This window comes from Homo sapiens, chromosome 12 (assembly GCF_000001405.40).
Source record: "Homo sapiens chromosome 12, GRCh38.p14 Primary Assembly".
Classification (NCBI taxonomy): Eukaryota; Metazoa; Chordata; class Mammalia; order Primates; family Hominidae; genus Homo; species Homo sapiens.
Window position 1 is genome coordinate 110,389,112 of NC_000012.12, and position 19,147 is coordinate 110,408,258.

Here is a 19,147-nt window from a genome sequence, read left to right on the forward strand (position 1 = left end):
AGAAATTACTACCCTTCCTTTCCCTAGCTCCTGCCTTCCCTAAGAGGAAAGTCACATTACCTTCCCACAAGGCCCAGTAATATCTGAACAAAAGACGCTGCCCTCTGGAAACTGGAATAACATTCATTTAAGAAATGGTAGAGAACGCTAGTTAACTTGATTCTTTCTTGATCTTAAAACAGAAGATGAACTATCTCACATAAGAAAGTGAGAAACTCTTGACATAGCTAGTTAAGAAGGATCAGCTCAGTTTTTCCTAATAAGGAAATGATACAGAAAGACAGATAAAGAAGTATAATACTTGGCTTTTCTTTGACAATTCGACTTGTGGCTAGACTCTAGCCTTTCTAACACTTAAGGCTTTGGCCCGTAGGTACTAACTCACTAAAGTAATGCTACAAAAATCAGCTACACTATTTAAATCCAGTGAGTGCAGACAGCTGCATTTTAGCGTAATTTAAATATGTAACTTTGTAAAGCTAAATTAAAATAATCCTACCTAACATGCAACTGGGAAATGAGAAAATCTAAAAGTTCTGGCCGGGCGCAGTGGCTCATGCCTGTAATCCCAGCACTTTGGGAGGCCGAGGTGGGTGGATTACGAGGTCAGGAGATTGAGACCATCCCGGCTAACACAGTGAAACCCCGTCTCTACTAAAAAATACAAAAAATTAGCTGGGCGTGGTGGCGGGCGCCTGTAGTCCCAGCTACTCAGGAGGCTGAGGAAGGAGAATGACGTGAACCCGGAAGGCAGAGCTTGCAGTGAGCCGAGATCGTGCCACTGCACTCCAGACTGGGAGACAGAGCGAGACTCCGTCTCAAAAAACAACAAAAAAAACCCACAAAAACAAAAAAAAAGCCAGAAAATCTAAAAGTTCCTAAGAATGTAGAAGTTATAGGCAAGTGATAAAAGACCTTCCTAATAGTACACAGATAAACACAATATTCCAATTTAAAATTAGATTTTTTTTTTTGAGACGGAGTTTCACGCTTGTCACCCAGGCTAGAGTGCGATGGCACGATCTCAGCTCACTGCAACCTCTGCCTCCTGGGTTCAAGTGATTCTCCTGCCTCAGCCTCCTGAGTAGCTGGGATTACAGGCACCCGCCACCACGCCCAGCTAATTTTTTTTTTGTATTTTAAGTAGAGATGGTGTTTCACCATGTTGGCCAGGCTGGTCTTGAACTCCTGACCTCAGGTGATCCAACCACCTCGGCCTCCCAAAGTGCTGGGATTACAGGCGTGAGCCACCGTGTCTGGCAAAATTAGTAGATTTTAAACACAACAGTATTTGCTAGATCATTAACCTAAGGAAGCAGTCAATGTGAGGGCACAAAAGAAAAAAGGTCAACCCCCAATCTCTTCGATTTAACTGTGGCTTGGTATGCCAGATATTTATAGAAAGAGTGGCTCTAAAGATAAAGAACATCTGTTCCAATTATAGACCTACATTATATAAAACAATCTAATATAGCATTGATTCACACTAATTCAAACAATGGAATAATGAAATACTAAAAATAAAACTATTTTTTACTTGGCCTCAGATTTTCCATATTAGGCTACTATTTTGAAAATGCAAAGAAAAATACTTAAAAGGAAAACTCCAGGATTGATGTCAATACTTGTAAAGAATAAAAAGTTAAATTTAAGATCCTTTCTTGACTGCTGGTTATATTAACAAACTATGACTGATGGACTATCTTTCTCAACAAATATCAAAATTTCCTTTAAGCTACTTGACTGTCACTTTAAAAGAATGAGTTTTGAGTAATACCTAATGAAAAAGTCAATTATTGGCCGGGCGCAGTGGTTCACACCTCTAATCCTAGCACTTTGGGAGGCCGAGGTGGGTGGATCACGAGGTCAGGAGATCGAGACCAGCCTGGCCAACATGGTGAAACCCCGTCTCTACTAGAATACAAAAAATTAGGCAGGTGCAGCGGTACGCGCCTGTAGTACCAGCTACTCAGGAGGCTGAGACAGGAGAATCGCTTGAACCCAGGAGGTGGAGGTTGCAGTGAGCTGAGATCATGCCATTGCACTCCAGCCTGGGCAACAGAGAGAGACTCCATCTCAAACAAACAAACAAAAAAAGTCAACTATTTTAAAAATAGATACTCACTTAAAAACATCATAAAGCCACATTCCACCAGTTATAAACACAAGCAGTCATCATTTTCTAAAAACTGAGTAAGAAATTCTATGTTGGTATGTTTACTCTTAAAAGGTGAAGATTTACCAAGATTTAATAATCTAACACTGGAATTTTCCTTTAAAATGTGAGGGAATATGTGGCGATGTTTACCATATATTAACAGACATTCATTTAGACACATTTTGACTCACTTCCTTGTCCTTTACATAGACTGAGAAGCCAGTTAACTCCCTAACAGACAAGAAAGAAAAACTGTAAATGTTATAGGTTTATGTTTGAGGCACACATCTTTGCTCCTAGCTGTAAGAGCACTACAGAATGAAGGATATGTACTGCTGACAAATGCAGACTCATACAGGTGCTCTAAGAATGATGGCAATGAAAATCAAGCAGTGGATGCTATAAAGCTGAGATGCTTTAACATTACTATTTTCAAAAAAAAGTCCTACAAATATCCACAGGTCATTATGAAGGAGATTATGGTATATTTCTAATAAAGTAAGGAATAGTATCCTTCAAAGTTTATAATTAAAATGGCTTCTTGGCCGGGCGTGGTGGCTCATGCCTGTAATCCCAGCACTTTGGGAGGCCAAGGCAGGCGGATCACCTAAGGTCAGATCGAGACCATCCTGGCCAACATGGTGAAACCCCGTCTCCACTAAAATGCAAAAAAGTAGCTGGGCGTGGTGGCACACGCCTGTAGTCCCAGCTACTCGGGAGGCTGAGGTAGGGGAATCGCTTGAACCCGGGAGGTGGAGGTTGCAGTGAGCCAAGATTGTGCCACTGCACTCCAGCCTGGCAACACAGCAAGACTCCACCTCACAAAAAAAAAAAAAAAAAAAAAAAAGGCTTCTTACAAAAGGAAGATACCTTGAGCATTGCAGCAGACATTCTTCATCTGTGCAACAAGATTATTCTTGGAGTAAGAGAAGACTTTCATAGGTTACCAGAACAGGATTTAGTATACAGCATCCAGGCTTATGATGAGAGAGGTTAATTCATAATAAACTTTCAAGTGTTTTTAATAGCAGCCACCATCATACTGAAGAAATAGCTTCAAAAACTCAGAAAATAGTAAATAATACCTTAATATGAGGAGGTGCTTAAACATGTTCTCATCAAGTTTGGTTACTTTTAAAGTTCAGCAAGACTTGGATGAAGCAGCACTAACTAAAATACACCAGGCCCCTACTGCTTAGATTTCGTATCTTTTAAAGGCAGGAGGATGCACCTGTCATTTTACCTATAAAATTCCTTATTGTTAAGCACAAGTTGCACAAAACAGTTTTTCAATAAAATGAGCAAGGCAGGAGACATGACAGTATTATTAGAATATTAAATACTGATATATTCTCACATTCATGAATTTATTTGGTATTTATAAAAGTAACAGAAAAAATACTATTCTTCTCATTTTATAAATAAAAAAGTAGTAAAGCTCACAAATTGGTAACTTGCCCAAGTTCACACTGCACACAGCTTGTATGCACCTAAACTCAAACTAGACACCAGATCTTTTTTTGTTTGTTTTTTTGTTTTTTTTGAGATGGAGTTTCACTCTTGTTGCCCAGGCTGGAGTGCAATGGCACCACGTCGGCTCACCGCAACCTCTGCCTCCTGGGTTCAAGCGATTCTCCTGCCTCAGCCTCCAGAGTAGCTGAGATTACAGGCATGCGCCACCACACCCGGCTAATTTTATATTTTTAGTAGAGACGGGGTTTCTCCATGTTGGTCAAGCTGGTCTCGAACTCCCAACCTCAGATGATTCACCCACCTCGGCCTCCCAAAGTGCTGGGATTACAGGCATGAGCCACCATGCCCAGCCGACACCAGATCTTTTGATTTTAGTTAAAGGTGTTTTCTTCACTATAATATGCTGCCAAATCAAACACAAAGACATATTCTACACATAAATAAGGATAAAAGAATCTTACAGTATTAATTTTCAAAACAAAGGAATAAAACCACCCCCATTACCAAATGTGTACACCTATGGAAGGCAAAAAATGAAGTTCTAAAAAAGTATTTTTGCCACCTGGAAGTGTTTTGCAAATAAATCATTATTTCCTATAATAAGAAATATCAAAGTCTTCTCTGCCTATGGAGTAGCCATTCTTTATTCCTTTATTTTATTAATAAACTCACTTTCACTTAAAAACAAAAACAAACACAAGGAGGCCAGGTGCAGTGGCTCCTGCCTGTAATCCCAGCAATTTGGGAGGCTAAGGGGGGAGGACAACTTGAGCCCAGAAGTTTGGGACCAACCTGGGCAAATGGTGGAGACCATCTCTATTTAAAAAAAAGAAAAAAAAAATTGGCCGGGCATGGTGGCTCCCACCTGTAACCCCAGCACTCTGTGAGGCCGAGGTGGGTGGATCACCTGAAGTCGGGAGTTCAAGACCAGCCTGACCAACATGGAGAAACCCAGTCTCTACTAAAATTACAAAATTAGTTGGGCATGGTGGCGCATGCCTGTAATCCCAGCTATTTGGGAGACTGAGGCAGGAGAACTGCTTGAACCCGGGAGGCAGAGGTTGCAGTGAGCTGAGATTGCACCATTGCACTCCAGCCTGGGCACCAAGAGCGAAACTCCCTCTCAAAAAAAAAAAAAAAAAAAAAATAGCCGGACATGGTGGCTCACGCCTGTAATCCTAGCACTTTGGGAGGCCGTGGCAGGCGAATCACAAAGTCAGGAGTTCGAGACCAGCCTGGCCAACATGGTGAAACACCATCTCTACTAAAAATACAAAAAAAAAATTAGCTGGGCGTGGTGGCGGGTGCCTGTAATCCCAGCTACCCAGGAGGCTGAGGCAGGAGAATCACTTGAACCCGGGAGGTGGTGGTTGCAATGAGCCGAGATCGCACCACTGCACTCCAGCCTGGGCAACAGAGCAAGACTCTGTCTCAAAACAAAAAAAACAAAACAAAAATAAAAAATAGGCTTGGAGTGGCATCTCACACCTGTAATCCCAGCACTTTGGGAGGCCAAAGTGGGAGGACAGTTTGAGCCCAGGAGTTTGAGACCAACCTGGGCAACACAGTGGAACCTTATCTCTACCAAAAATAAAAAAAATTGGCCAGGTGCGGTGGCTCCCGCCTGTAATCCCAACACTTTGGGAGGCCGAGGTGGGCGGATCACCTGAGGTCAGGAGTTCAAGACCAGCCTGGCCAACATGGCAAAACCCCATCTCTACTAAAAATACAAAAAAATTAGCCTGGCGTGGTGGCAGGCGCCTATAATCCCAGCTACTCGGGAGGCTGAGGCAGGAGAATCACTTGTACTTGGGAGATGGAGGTTGCAGTGAGCCCCCATGCTATTGCACTCCAGCCTGGGCAACTTTGCAGTGAGCCCCCATGCTATTGCACTCCAGCCTGGGCAACAAGAGTGAAATTCCACCTCAAAAAAAAAAAAAAAAAAAAAAAAAAATTAGCTGGGTGTGGCAGCATGCAACTGTAATCCCAGCTATTTGGGAGGCTGAGGTGGGAGGATTGCTTAAGCCTGGGAGGTTGAAGCTGCAGTGAGCCAGGATCACAACACTGTACTGTAGCCTGGGTGACAGTGAGACTCTGTCTCAAAAAATATTAAATTAAGTTAAACATAAAAAATAAAAAAGAAAAAACAAAGAATAAGCATGTGTAGTATTCTCCAGCTATCATTTTCATCAGCTGGATTTTCAGGGTCCCCCACCCCCACTCCATGAAGAGGAAGAAAATGAGAATTAGAATCATGGGTAAAATGTTCACACGGACTCCTTAATGCATGAGAAAACATGGAGAGAGGGAGCAGGGTTAGGAGAGCTGAGGAGAAAAACACATAAACATTCAACTTACTTTGGGAGTTCTTTGTCTTGAAGGGATCCCATCAAGTATAGCAATGGCATCTTTATCTTGTTTTAGCATTGTATAACATTCAGCCATTTTGTATTTCACTTCAATTTCAGATGGAAGACACTAAAAGACAATGGAAATATTTCTTTGAAACGTTATTCCAACAATATGACAGTTCTTCAAAACGTTAAACATAGAGTTATCATATGACCCAGCAATTCTTTTTTTTTTTTTTGAGACAGGGTCTCGCTCTGTTGCCCAGGCTGCAATGCAGTGGTGCAAACATGATTTACTGCAGTCTTAGACTCCTAGTCTCAAGCGATCCTCCCACCTTGGCCTTCTGAGTACTACAGGTATGTGCCACCATGCCGTTTTGTAAAGACAGGGGTCTCACTATGTTGCCAAGGCTAGTCTCAAACTCCTGACCTCAAGTCCTCCTACCTCCGCCTCTGGAAGTGCTTGGATTACAGGTGTGAGCCACTGTGCCTGGCCTCATCTTCTTTTTTTTTTTTTGAGACAGAGTCTCGTTCTGTCACCCAGGCTGGTGTCTCCTGCCTCAGCCTCCCAAGTAGCTGGGACTACAGGCATCCACCACCATGCCTGGCTAATTTTTTGTATTTTTAGTAGAGACGGCGTTTCACCGTGTTAGCCAGGATGGTTTCAATCTCCTGACCTCGTGATCCGCCCGCCTAGGCCTCCCAAAGTGCTGGGATTACAGGCGTGAGCCACTGCGCCCAGCTTCTGGCCTCATCTTCTACATCTAATCAGCTATCATCTAAATCAGCGGTCCCCAACCTTTTTGGCACCAGGGGACCAGTTTCATGAAAGACAATTTTTCCACAGATGGGGGGTGAGGGGGTGGTTTCAGGATGAAACTGTTCCACCTCAGATCTTCAGGCATTAGTCAGATTATAATAAGGAACACACAACCTAGATCCTAGCATGTGTAGTTCACAATAGGGTTTGTGTTCCTATAAGAATCTAATGCCGCAGCTGATCTGACAGGAGGCGGAGCTCAGGCAGTAATATTCACTAGCCCTCCACCCACCTCCTGCTGTGCAGCCTGGTTCCTAACAGACCAGGCACTGGGGCCTGGGGACCCTGTTCTAAATTCTTGGAGTCTTTCTCAAAAAAAAAAAAAAAAAATCACAATTCTATCTCCAATTACCTGACTTTGTGGAGTAGATGCAGAATTTCCAGTTGAAGGTCTCACTTTTGAAGTTTTACTTAGCGCTTTCTTCTGCTGTAAAGCCATGGTATACTTACTCACAGCATTCCGATATTCCTTATCATGAAAGAGAGAATCTGCATGATACACCAAAAGCTGGTACTTCTGAGGTGGGGAGAATAACTCACTAGAAAACAAGAGAAAATGTAATACATCTTTTCCTCCCTTTCAATCCAAGCTCCCCCAGCTTCTTTTTTTTTTTTGAAATAGATTCTCACTCTGTCACCCAGGCTGGAGTGCAGTGGCACGATCTCGGCTCACTGCAACCTCCACCTCCCGGGTTCAAGTGATTCTCCTTCCTCAGCCTCCCGAGTAGCTGAGATTACAGGCACATGGCACCACACCCAGCTAATTTTTGTTTTTTTTTTTAGTAGACATGGGGTTTCGCCATGTTAGCCAGGCTGGTCTCAAACTCCCGACCTCAAGTGATCTACCTGCGTCGGCCTCCCAAAGTGCTGGGATTACAGGCGTGAGCCATCATGCCTGGCCACCAGGCCCTTTTAACAGTCTGAGATATATCTATCCATATTCTCATATTAAGATGAAGTACAGAGAAACCTCACCACTTTGAATCCTTTTTAAAAACAGGCTGCACAGGCTGGGTGCGGTGGCTTACGCCTGTAATCCCAGCACTTTGGGAGGCTGAGGGGGGCGGATCTCGAGGTCAGGAGATCGAGACCATCCTGGCTAACGCGGTGAAACCCCATCTCTACTAAAAAATACAAAAAATTAGCCAGGCGTGGTGGCAGGCGCCTGTAGTCCCAGCTACTTGGGAGGCTGAAGCAGGAGACTGGCATGAACCCAGGAGGCCTGTAGTGAGCCGAGATCATGCCACTGCACTCCAGCCTGGGCGACAGAGCCAGACTCCGTCTCAACAACAACAAAAAAAAACCAATGCACAAAAAGAAGTTTGAAAAAACCTGAAAGCTCTTCAAATACTAAAGAAAGGCCAGGCGCGGTGGCTCACGCCTGTAACCCCACCACTTTGGGAGGCTGAGGCGGGCAGATCACAAGATCACAAGATCGAGATCATCCTGGCCAACACGGTGGAACCCCAGCTCTACTAAAAATACAAAAATTAGCTGGGAGTGGTGGCAGGCGCCTGTAGTCCCAGCTACTCGGGAAGCTGAGGCAGGAGAATTGCTTTAACCTAGGAGGTGGAGGTTATAGTAAGCCGAGATCGCGCCACTGCACTCGCACTCCAGCCTGGCGACAGAGCGAGATCTCGTCTCAAAAAAAAAAAAAAACACTAAAAACTAAAGAAAATGCCACTATAAAAGGAGAATGGGGGGCTGGGCGTGGTGGCTCATGCCTGTAATCCCAGCACTTTGGGACACCAAGGCAGGCGGATCACCTGAGGTCAGGAGTTTAAGACTAGCCTAACCAACATGGTGAAACCGTCTCTACTAAAAATACAAAATTAGACGGGTGTGGTGGCGCATGCCTGTAATCCCACCTACTCGGGAGGTTGAGACAGGAGAATCGCTTGAACCCGGGAGGCAGAGGTTGCTGTGAGCCGAGATTGCGCCACTACACTCCAGCCTGGGCGACAAGAGTGAAACTCTGTCTTTTAAAAAAAAAAAGATCGGGAAAGCCAATGGGATAGCAAGAGGATTGGCCTTGATAAAAGTTTATTTAGGCTGAGCTCAGTAGCTTGCACCTGTAATCCGAGCACTTTGGGAGGCCGAGGCAGGCAGATCACTGAAGGTTGGGAGTTTGAGACTAGCCTGGCCAATAAGGTGAAACCCCGTCTCTAGTAAAAATACAAAAATTAGCCAGGTGCGGTGGCGAGTGCCTGTAATCCCAGCTACCTGGGAGGCTGAGGCAGGAGAATGACTTGAACCCAGGAGGCAGAGGTTGGGGTGAGCCAAGATCGTGCCACTGCACTCCAGCCTGGGTGACAAGTGAAACTCTGTCTCAAAAAAAAAGAAAACACAAAAATTAGCCAGGCATGGTGGTGCATGCCCGTAATCCCAGCTACTTAGGAGGCTAAGACAGGACAATCGCTTGAGCCCAGGAGACAGAAGTTGCAGTGGGCCAAGATCATGCCATTTGTACACCAGCCTGGGCAACAGGGAATGAAACCCTGTCTCAGAAAAAAAAAAAAGTAAACTTCACTAGCACTAGAATTCTTACCTCCTGGAGTCTCAGGGATTTCAGGACAGTGTAAAGGAACCAATGTTTTAAAACTGTTTAACCTTGAGTATTACAGTCAAGAATTATAACTGCCTAGAAGTTGACCACCATTCCTAATGAGGAACTCATATTTTCAACCTCCAATTCCACTCCTTCCCAAATAAGAGGAAGAAGTTTACTGTTTTTCTTTGACAAGTAAAAGCTACAGCAGGCCGGGGCATGGTGGCTCATGCCTGTTGTAATCCCAGCACTTTGTGAGGCCAAGGTGGGTGGATCACCTAAGTTCAGGACCTGACCAACATGGAGAAACCCTGTCTCTACTAAAAATACAAAATTAGCCTGGCGTGGTGGCACATGCCTGTAATCCCAGCTATTCGGGAGGCTGAGGCAGGAGAATCACTTGAATCTGGGAGGCAGAGGTTGCGGTGAGCCAAGATAGTGTGCCATTGCACTCCAGCCTGGGCAACAAGAGCCAAACTCCATCTCCAAAAACAAAAACAAAAACAAGAAAAACAAAGTTATAGTTGCTTATATGAAAGAACAGAGTGAGCTGAATAATTCTTTTTTTTTTTTTTTTGAGAAGGAGTCTTACTCTGTCGCCCAGGCTAGAATGCAGTGGCACAATCTCGGCTCACTACGACCCCTGCCTCCCGGGTTCAAGCAATTCTCCTGCCTCAGCCTCCCGAGTAGCTAGGATTATAGGCACCTGCCACCTCGCCCAGCTAATTTTTGTATTTTTGGTAGAGACGGGGTTTCGCCATGTTGGCCATCGCTGGTCTCAAACTCCTGACCTCATGATCCACCCGCCTCAGCCTCCCAAAGTGCTGGGATTACAGGCGTGAGCCACTGCGCCCAGCCGAGTCGAATAATTCTGTAGATAGTTAATTTCTCAACAAGCTAGGCACAGTGGCTCACACCTGTAATCCCAACACTTTGGGAGGTTGAGGTGGGAAGACTGCTTGAGCCTAGAGTCTGATCAACATAGTGAGATCTTGTCTCTTAAAAAAAAAAAAAAATAGGCATCATACATTAGTGTTTGCGGGAGGAAGGGACAATTGGAGAGTGATTACTAATAGACACGGTTTCTTTTTGTTGGGATAATGAAAACCTTCTGGAGTTAGATCATGGTGATGATCATACAATTTTGTAAATACACTAAAACCCACAGAATTGCATTATTGTGGCCATGTGCGGTGGCTTATGCCTATAATCCTAGCTACTTAGAGGCTGAGGCAGGAGAATCGCTTGAACCTGGGAGGTGGAGGTTGCAGTGAGCCAAGATCCCACCACTGCACTCCAGCCTGGGTGACGAGAGAGAGACTCTGTCTCAGACAAAAAAAAAAAAAAAAAGGGGCCAGGCGCGGTGGCTCACGCCTGTAATCACAGCACTTTGGGAGGCCAAGGAGGGAGGATCACCTGAGGTCAGGAGTTCGACCAGCCTGGCCAACATGTTGAAACCTCGTCTCTACTAAAAATACGAAAATTAGCCAGGCATGGTGGTGGGCGCCTGTAATCCCAGCTACTTGGAAGGCTGAGGGAGAACTGCTTGAACCCAGCAGGCGGAGGTTGCAGTGAGCCGAGATCACGCCACTGCACTCCAGCCCTGGCGACAGAGTGAGACTCAGTCTCCCCAGAAAAACAGAAAAAAAACAACAAAAAGAGTATAGTCTAGATGACTTAAGTTCTCTTCAAACTCTGTGATTCTATGTATGTAGTGAGAAATAACCATTTGATGCTTAGATACAAAAGTATTATTACATCCACAGAAAGCATTCAGATATGCATATAAGATACATGTCTACTTACACATGCATTAAGTTATCTCTGTAATGACACACGAAAAAATAGTTATTGCCTCTGGAGAAAGGAAATGTTGGGGTGAGGTTCAAGACTCAGGTAAAGATACTGATCTGCATGCCCCTTCTCCACTGTTTGAATTTAACAGTGTCTATTCCTATTCCACAAGAAATTTTAAAGTATAAATCATGAAGGTCAGAACTTAAACATGTCCTGAAGCTAGGAAACTGCCAATCTAACCCAATATGAAAAAGCATGGGCTAAACTTCGTCTAGCCAGAGAATTAAACTGTTTCAAACTATCCTGTAACATCTTTAAGAACTAAGAGTAACTAGGGCCTAAATCTCCAAACGTGGAAACTGTATGCTTTGGCAAATCACTCAGAACCAAGTGAAAGGCTCCAGCATAAACACATAAGGCTGACAGAGACCAGGGCTCCTGTCAACATGAAGTGGATGGTGGCAAAATGTGGGTCTCACTAGTAAGGTCCAAAGCACATTAATGAGGCTGGGCTCGGTGGCTCACGCCTGCAATCCAAGCACTTTGGGAGGCCTAAGTCATGGGGATCACTTGAGGTCAGGAGTTCCAGACAAGCCTGGCCAACATGATGAAACCCCATCTCTATTAAAAAAAAAAAAAAAATTAGCTGGGCGTGGTGGTGCGAATCTGTAATCCCTGCTACTCAGGAGGCTGAGGTGGGAGGATCGATTGAGCCTGGGAGGTGGAGGCTGTAGTCAGCCGAGATCGCACCACTGCACTCCAGCCTGGGCAACAAAGCAAGACTCCGTCTGAAAAGCAAAACAAAACAAAACACCAAAGTGCACTAATGAAAATCCAATGGGCAGCAGCAGCTGCATTGTAAGCACTTAAAGGACTTTTCCCTTCTGACCTAGACCAGCTTCTACAGCAGGCCAAACACTAATACATCTACAGAGTAAAAGTTTCCATTATAACGCCATTTGGAGGTAGCAGACTGGTGGCTCAGAATGGAGACTCTCCAGTCAGAGAAGACCAGGTCCAGGCATCGTACTCCTCCATTTATTGGATGTGTGAACTTGGACAAGGGTATTTCACCTCCCTGAGGTTGTACTCACTTCCTCAACACACTCAATAAGCATGTGAGTGCTTATTGCGCACAGCCACTGCGCTTTCAATTGGTGGGTGATGCGAAGGGTAGAAAAGTGGGAGTACCCGAGAGTCCTGGGAGTCAGAGAAGGCTCTTTAGGAGAGATATCCAGGCTAAAACCTGAAGGAGGAGGCAACGCTGAGATGAGGACCGTCGCAGGAGGAACAGCAAGTACAAGGGCCCAGAGTAGAGAACACGCTTGGTGCATTCAAATAACACAAAGAGGCCAGAAGCGATGGTTCACGCCTGTAATCCTTAAACTTTGGGAGGCCGAGGCGGCGGGATCACCAGAGGTCAGGAGTTGAAGACCAGACTGGTCGGCTGGGCGCGGTGGCTCACACCTGTAATCCCAGCACTTTGGGAGGCCGAGGCGGGCGGATCACGAGGTCAGGAGATCGAGACCATCGTGAAACCCTGTCTCTACTAAAAATACAAAAAAATTAGCTGGGTGCGGTGGCGGGCGCCTGTAGTCCCAGCTACTCGGGAGGCTGAGGCAGGATAATGGCGTGAACCCAGAAGGCGAAGCTTGCAGTGAGCCAAGATCGTGCAGAGCGAGACTCCGTCTCAAAAAAAAAAAAAAAAAAAAAAAAAGACCAGACTGGTCAATATAGTGAAACTCTGTTTCTACTAAAATAACAAAAATTAGCTGGGCGTGTGGCGCTCGCCTGTAATCCCAGCTACTTGGTTGGCTGAGGCAGGAGGATCGCTTGAACCCAGGAAGCGGAGGCTGCAGTGAGCCAAGACTGCGCCACTCAACTCCAGCATGGGCGACAGAGCGAGGCTGTCTCAAAAAAATAAAAATAAATAAACAAATAAAAACAAATAACAGAATAGCCAGGGAGGCTAGAGAGCAGTGAACAGAGTAATGAGATGAAGTCGCAGAGAGTGGAGGGCAGATATTTGCCTTCAGAGGCCATGGGAAAGAATTTTCATAAGTGCAATAAAGGATTTTTTTTTTTTTTTGAGACGGAGTCTCGCTCTGTCGTCCAGGCTGGAGTGCAGTGGTGCTACTTCGGCTCACTGCAAGCTCCGCCTCCCGGGTTCACGTTATTCTTCTGCCTCAGCCTCCCGAGTAGCTGGGACTACAGGCGCCCGCCACCACGCCTGGCTAAATTTTTTTGGTATTTTTTAAGCAGAGACGGGGTTACACTGTGTTAGCCAGGATGATCTCGATCTCCTGACCTCGTGATCCGCCCGCCTCGGCCTCCCAAAGTGCTGGGATTACAGGCATGAGCCACTACGCCCGGCCAATAAAGGATATTAAGCAGGAGAGGGACATGCACTCAAGGATGGAATCAGCTCAGTGCTTCAAGGAAACATGAAAGGCGCCACGCCCACCCATTAATGGAGTCTCCCGTTTCCTTTTTTTGAGACAGGCAGTCGTTCTGTCGCCCACGGTAAAGGACAATGATGCGATCACGGCTCACTGCAGCCTCGACCTCCTGGGTTCAAGCGATCCTCCTGCCTCAGCCTCCCGAGTAGCTGGGACCGCAGGCACGCACCATCACGCCCGGCTAATTGTTTAATTTTTACTTTTCGTAGAGGCAGGGTCTCCCTATGTTGCCCAGGTTGGTCTTGAACTCCTGGGCTCAAGCGATCCTCCCGCCTCGGCCTCCCAAAGGGCTCGTATTAGAGGCGTGAGCCACCGCGCCCGGCCCCGTTTTCAGGGGTTTCCCAAGGCCAGAAAGTGGACCCTCCTGATACACTTAACGGGGGGACCAATCTCAGATGCGGGGGCTAGCGCATAAAAACCAGGAGGCTGGGTCCCTGAGCTGCAGCGAGAGAAAAAAACGTTCTTCTGGAAGGAGCCGAGAGGGAAGGATTCAGCCTAGCGATGTGACAGTCGCGCTGCCCCGCGACAGGTGCCTCAGGAAACCCTCGCCTGGGTCGTCCTCAGAGCCTCTGCCTTCTATGTCTCCAAGCCGCCGCTCGCCACATCCCCGCGGGACTTGACGCCGGCACCCAGTGAACCCAACTTGCGCTCCGAAGTCTGCTCCGCTCCAGGACGCCCTCGCAGACCCCGGAGCCTCCGCTGGCGCCGGCGGCCGCTCCTTCCCGCCTGTTCCCACGTGCCCTGAGCCCCCGCTCCCAGACCGCCGCCGCTTTCTCCTCAGCCCCAGGCAGCTACCCGCCTCAACTCACGGGTTGTTATTACTCATTGTAAGTAACAAGCTGCTGAGGAGCCGCACGTTGGAGTGCAGCCCCGCGGCCGCCATGTCCCGCACGTGGTCTATCACATTCATCCTGCTCTGCAAAGCCGCGGGCAGCGGCGGCAGCACTGACTCGAAAAGCCGGTAGAGGATCCTTAGGGAAGACTCCAAAATGGCGGCGTCGCCGGGGTCCATCGGGTCCACACGCGGCACCACCCCCAAGCAAGAGGTAACTACTGAAGTGCCCGAATAAAAAGAAACTCGAGTCCCTGCTCCTGTCGTGGTCCTTTTCAGGTGAAATGAGTTGTTATTTTTACGCAAAAATCACGTTATCATCCTAAACTGCAAACTTTACTGAGGATTTACAATGAGACAAAAGGCACCTTATAAGACTACTCGGTCAATTTGAATGAGTCTGAGAGGAATTTGTGCCTCTCAGAAATTAAAATGTGTGGGTATTTACCGAAATAAAATACAGTAAGGTGAGGAAAAACGCTCCAACTGGAATTAAATATTCTAATCGGGCGCCAGGGACAGACCTAACGGCCTTTACAGTGGCGCATGCGCACCAGGCTAGGGCCGCCGCGCCCCTCCTCAGGTGTTTTGTGTTCCTGCCAAGTCAGGCTTCGGCCCTGGGGGAACTCCTTGGTTCGAGGGGTATATTTCCCCATGTAAAATTATTCCCTAGATCCGTGGAAATAAAGGCTGGATCCAGGAATTAGCTGATACCCATATAAACCAGTATGTGTCTGGCACACTTAACGTTTTAGGAAAGTTTTACACAAGTTATTGGGACGCTCACAACAATCCATAAAGTTGAAGTTGTCATTCCCTTCCCACAAGGGAAGAAACTGCCTGCTTAAATTTTGTGCTCAGGTTGTTAAATGGTTGACTTGGAATCAGATCGACTGGTTAATTATGTTGGATCGCAAACTCAAATGTATACAGGGACCAGGGAGGTAACTGAGCCAATGAGGCAGTTTAGGTCGTTGAGTCAGAGTCCGAATATTCTCCACAGTCATCCTCTCAGATCTAGCCTATCGCTCCTTTCTTAAAGGAGACAGTCGTTTTGGTCTAGATTTTGTTTTCATTTGATTTTTACAGTAGTAGATGCAAAAAAAATGCTCTGAAAAAATCACAGTGTATCTTCATCAGCAACTTTTTCAGCTCTTAACATTTTGTCACAGTTGAAGCTCCTGTAGATCCTTTTCCCATCTCATCCCCTACTCTAGTTTCCTGGATGTGTGAGACCTTCTATTTGATTTTGGTGGGCATCATCACTGTGAACTTTTCTTTTTTCTTTTTTTCGAGACGGAGTTTTGCTCTTGTCGCCCAGGCTGGAGTGCAAAATCTCAGCTCACTGCAACCTCTGTCACCCGGGTTCAAGGAATTCTCCCTGCCTCAGCTTCCCGAGTAGCTGGGATTACAGGCGCCTGCCACCACTGTCATGTGCGTCCGTGTGAAGAGACCACCAAACAGGCTTTGTGTGAGCAACAAGGCTGTTTGTTTCACCTGGGTGCAGGCAGGATGGTAGCAGCACGAGCCATAGGCAAAACTCCTCAGACACCAAGTTAAAGAAGGAAGGAGTATATTCGGCTGGGAGCATCAGCAAGGCTCCTGTCTCAAGAGCCGAGCTCCCCGAGTGAGCAATTCCTGTCCCTTTTAAGGGCTCACAATTCTAAGGGGGTCCGCGTGAGAGAGTCGTGATCGATTGAGTAAGCAGGGGGTACATGACATGCACCGGTGGTCAGAGTGAAACAGACCGGGAAGTTTCACAATGTCTTTCTATAATCTGTAGATAACATCAGTTGCTAGGTCAGGGGTCAGTTAAGGCAGGAACCGGCCCTTTTCACTTCTTTTGTGATTCTTCAGTTACTTCAGGCCATCTGGATGTACACATGCAGGCTTGGGTTCAGAGGCCTGACATTCCTGTCTTCTTACGTTAACAAGAAGAATAAAACGAAATAGTCGTAAAGTGTTGCGGCAGCGAAAATTTTTGGGGGTGGTATGGAGAGATAATGGGCGATGTTTTTCAGGGCTGCTTCAAGTGGGATTGGGGGTGGTGTGTGGGAACCTAGAGTGGGAGAGATTAAGCTGAAAGAAGATTTTGTGGTAAGGGACAATATTGTGGGGTTGTTAAAAGGAGCATTTGTCGTATAGAATGATTGGTGATGGCCTGGATGCAGTTTTGTATGAATTGAGAAACTAAATGAAAGACACAAGGTCTGAATTAAGAGAAGGAGAAAAACAGGTATTAAATAACTAAGAATTGGGAGGACCCAGGACATCCAATTAGAGAGTGCTCAAGGGGGTTCAGCATAATTACCTGCTTGGTTGGTGAGTTTTGGGGCTCTATCCTTGACAGAGTCCTTTTTAAGTTGGAGGCTGAGCTTGGTGAGGTGTGTTTTTAAAAGACCATTAGTCCATTCTACCTTTCCTGAAGATTGAGGACAATAATGGGTATGAAGTTTTCACTGAATACCAAGAGCCTGAGAAACTGCTTCGGTGATTTGACTAGTAAAGGCCGGTCCGTTATCGGACTGTATAGAGATGGGAAGGCCAAACCGAGGAATTATGTCTGACAGAAGGGAAGAAATGATTGCGGTGGCCTTCTCAGACCCTGTGGGAAAGGCCTCTACCCATCCAGTGAAAGTGTCTACCCAGACCAAGAGGTTTTTTTGTTTCCTGACTTGGGGCATGTGAGTAAGGTCAATTTGCCAGTCCTGGGCAGGGGCAAATCCCCGAGCTTGATGTGTAGGGAAGGGAGGGGGCCTGAACAATCCCTGAGGAGTAGTAGAATAGCAGATGGAACACTGAGAAGTGATTTCCTTGAGGATAGATTTCCTCAACGGAAAGGAAATGAGAGGTTCTAAGAGGAGGGCTAGCAGCTTGTAACCTACATGGAAGAGGTTATGAAATGACGACAGAATAGAATGGGCCTGTGAGGCTGGAAGAAGATATTTTCTTTGGTCCAAGAACCATTTGTCTTGTGTGGGAAGAGATTGATAGGTAGAAGTTTCAGTGGGGGAGTAGGTGAGAGTGACCAGATGAGAAGGAGAAAAATTGGCCGTGAGGGACAGAAGTTGGAAGGCTAAGCTGCTTCTTTAGCTACCTTGTCAGCGTAAGCGTTGCCCTGAGCGATGGGATCTGATGCCTTTTGATGGCCCTTGCAGTGAATGACTCCAGCTTCCTTTGGAAGTAAAGCGGCCTTGAAAAGAGTTTTTATTAAAGAGGCATTCATGATAGAGGACCCTTGAGTAGTAAGGAAACCTCTTTCAGCCCATATAACAGCATGGTGGTGTAGGATATGGAAGGCATATTTAGAGTCAGTATAAATATTGATGCGTAGTCCCTTTGCAAGAGTGAGGGCCTGAGTTAAGGCAATTGGTTCGGCTTGCTGAGAGGTAGTGCAGGGGGTCAGAGCAGTAGCCTCAATGATAGATGTGGAAGATACTATAGCATAGCCTGCCTTTGCTGGTGAGTGGCAATTAGGCCTGGTGGAACTGCCATCAATAAACCAAGTGTGATCAGGGTGAGGAACAGGAAAGAAGGAAATATGGGGAAATGGAGTGAATGTCAGCTGGATCAGAGAGATACAGTGATGTGGGTCAGGTGTGGTATCCGGAATAATGTGGGGGCTAGCCTAAAACAGTGAGGTCAAGTTGTTTGGACAGAAAGGCTACAGGGTGCGGTCCCAGCTCTTGTGCAAGAATTTTGACCACACAGCCCTGTACTTTGGCTGTGTGTAATGAAAAGGGTTGGGATGAGTTAGGGAGAGCTAGTGTGGGAGCAGCTTCTAGGGCTGTTTTTAAGGAACAGAAAGAGGAGTGGTGAAAAAATTTAGGATCTATGGAGTCAGCTAGGTTTGCTTTTGTGAGTTTATGTAACGTTTTAGTCAGGATGGTAAAACTAGGTATCCAAAAGTGGAAGTACCTAACAATGCATAGGAAGGAAAGGAGTTGTTGTTTTGTAGAAGGGATTGGGGTTTGGGAGATTAGCTGGACACAATCAGCAGGGAGAGCATGTGTGTTTTCACAAAGAGTTATGCCAAGATAGGTAATGGATGAGGAAGAAATTTGGGCTTGACTAAAGTAATGGGAGCTGTCTGTGAAGCCTTGCGGCAGTACAGCCCAGGTAGTTTGCTGAGCCTAATGGGTGTCAGGGTCAGTCCAAGTGAAAGTGAAGAGAGACTGTGATGAAGTGTGCAAAGGAATAGTAAAGAAAGCATGTTTGAGATCCAGAACAGAATAATGGGTTATGGAGGGGTTGTGGAGGGAGGTATTGAGGATAGAAGAGTATATGGCTTTGGCACCATGGGTTGAATAGGCAAGACAATTTGGTTGATAAGGCACAGATCCTGAACTAACCTGTAAGACTTGTCTGGTTTTTGGACAGGTAAAATGGGGGAATTGTAAGGAGAGTTTATAGGCTTTAAAAGGCCATGCTGTAACAGGCAAGTGATAACGGGCTTTAATCCTTTTAAAGCATGGCGGGCTAAGGGTGATTAGGTTTTAATGGGATGGTAAGGGGTGCATGATTGGTCTCCAAGGAGGGAGTAGAGGTATCATATACTCGTGGATTAGGGTGGGGAGATACAAGGGGAGGATGTGAAGGAGTCTTTGAACTGGGGAAAAGGGCAGTAATGAGGTGTGGCTGTAGCCTAGGAATAATCAGGGAAGCAGATAATTTAGTTAAAATGTCTCAACCTAATAAGGGAGCTGGTC

The 19,147-nt window shown here is 46.2% G+C and overlaps 1 protein-coding gene across 8 annotated transcripts in view; it reads right to left on the reverse strand.

The window, feature by feature from the left end:
- The window catches only part of ANAPC7 (anaphase promoting complex subunit 7), a 30,809-nt gene extending 16,212 nt beyond the window's left edge, over positions 1–14,597 (reverse strand). For 5 of the 8 annotated variants that reach the window (XR_007063088.1, NM_001385212.1, NM_001385211.1 and 2 more), the window contains exons 1-3: positions 14,416–14,597; positions 7,155–7,341; positions 5,990–6,109 (exon numbers count right to left, since the gene is read on the reverse strand). Coding sequence is in view for 6 of the 8 variants with exons in the window: in NM_001385211.1 (NP_001372140.1) it covers positions 5,990–6,109; positions 7,155–7,341; positions 14,416–14,516 (408 nt within the window). In the remaining 2 variants the exon portion in view is untranslated. Of the gene's footprint in view, positions 1–5,989; positions 6,110–7,154; positions 7,342–12,241; positions 12,839–13,611 lie in introns of those variants that run through there. The other 3 variants (NM_001385209.1, NM_001385208.1, NM_001385210.1) reach the window with 3 other exon arrangements.
- Between the last annotated feature and the right edge of the window lie 4,550 nt (positions 14,598–19,147).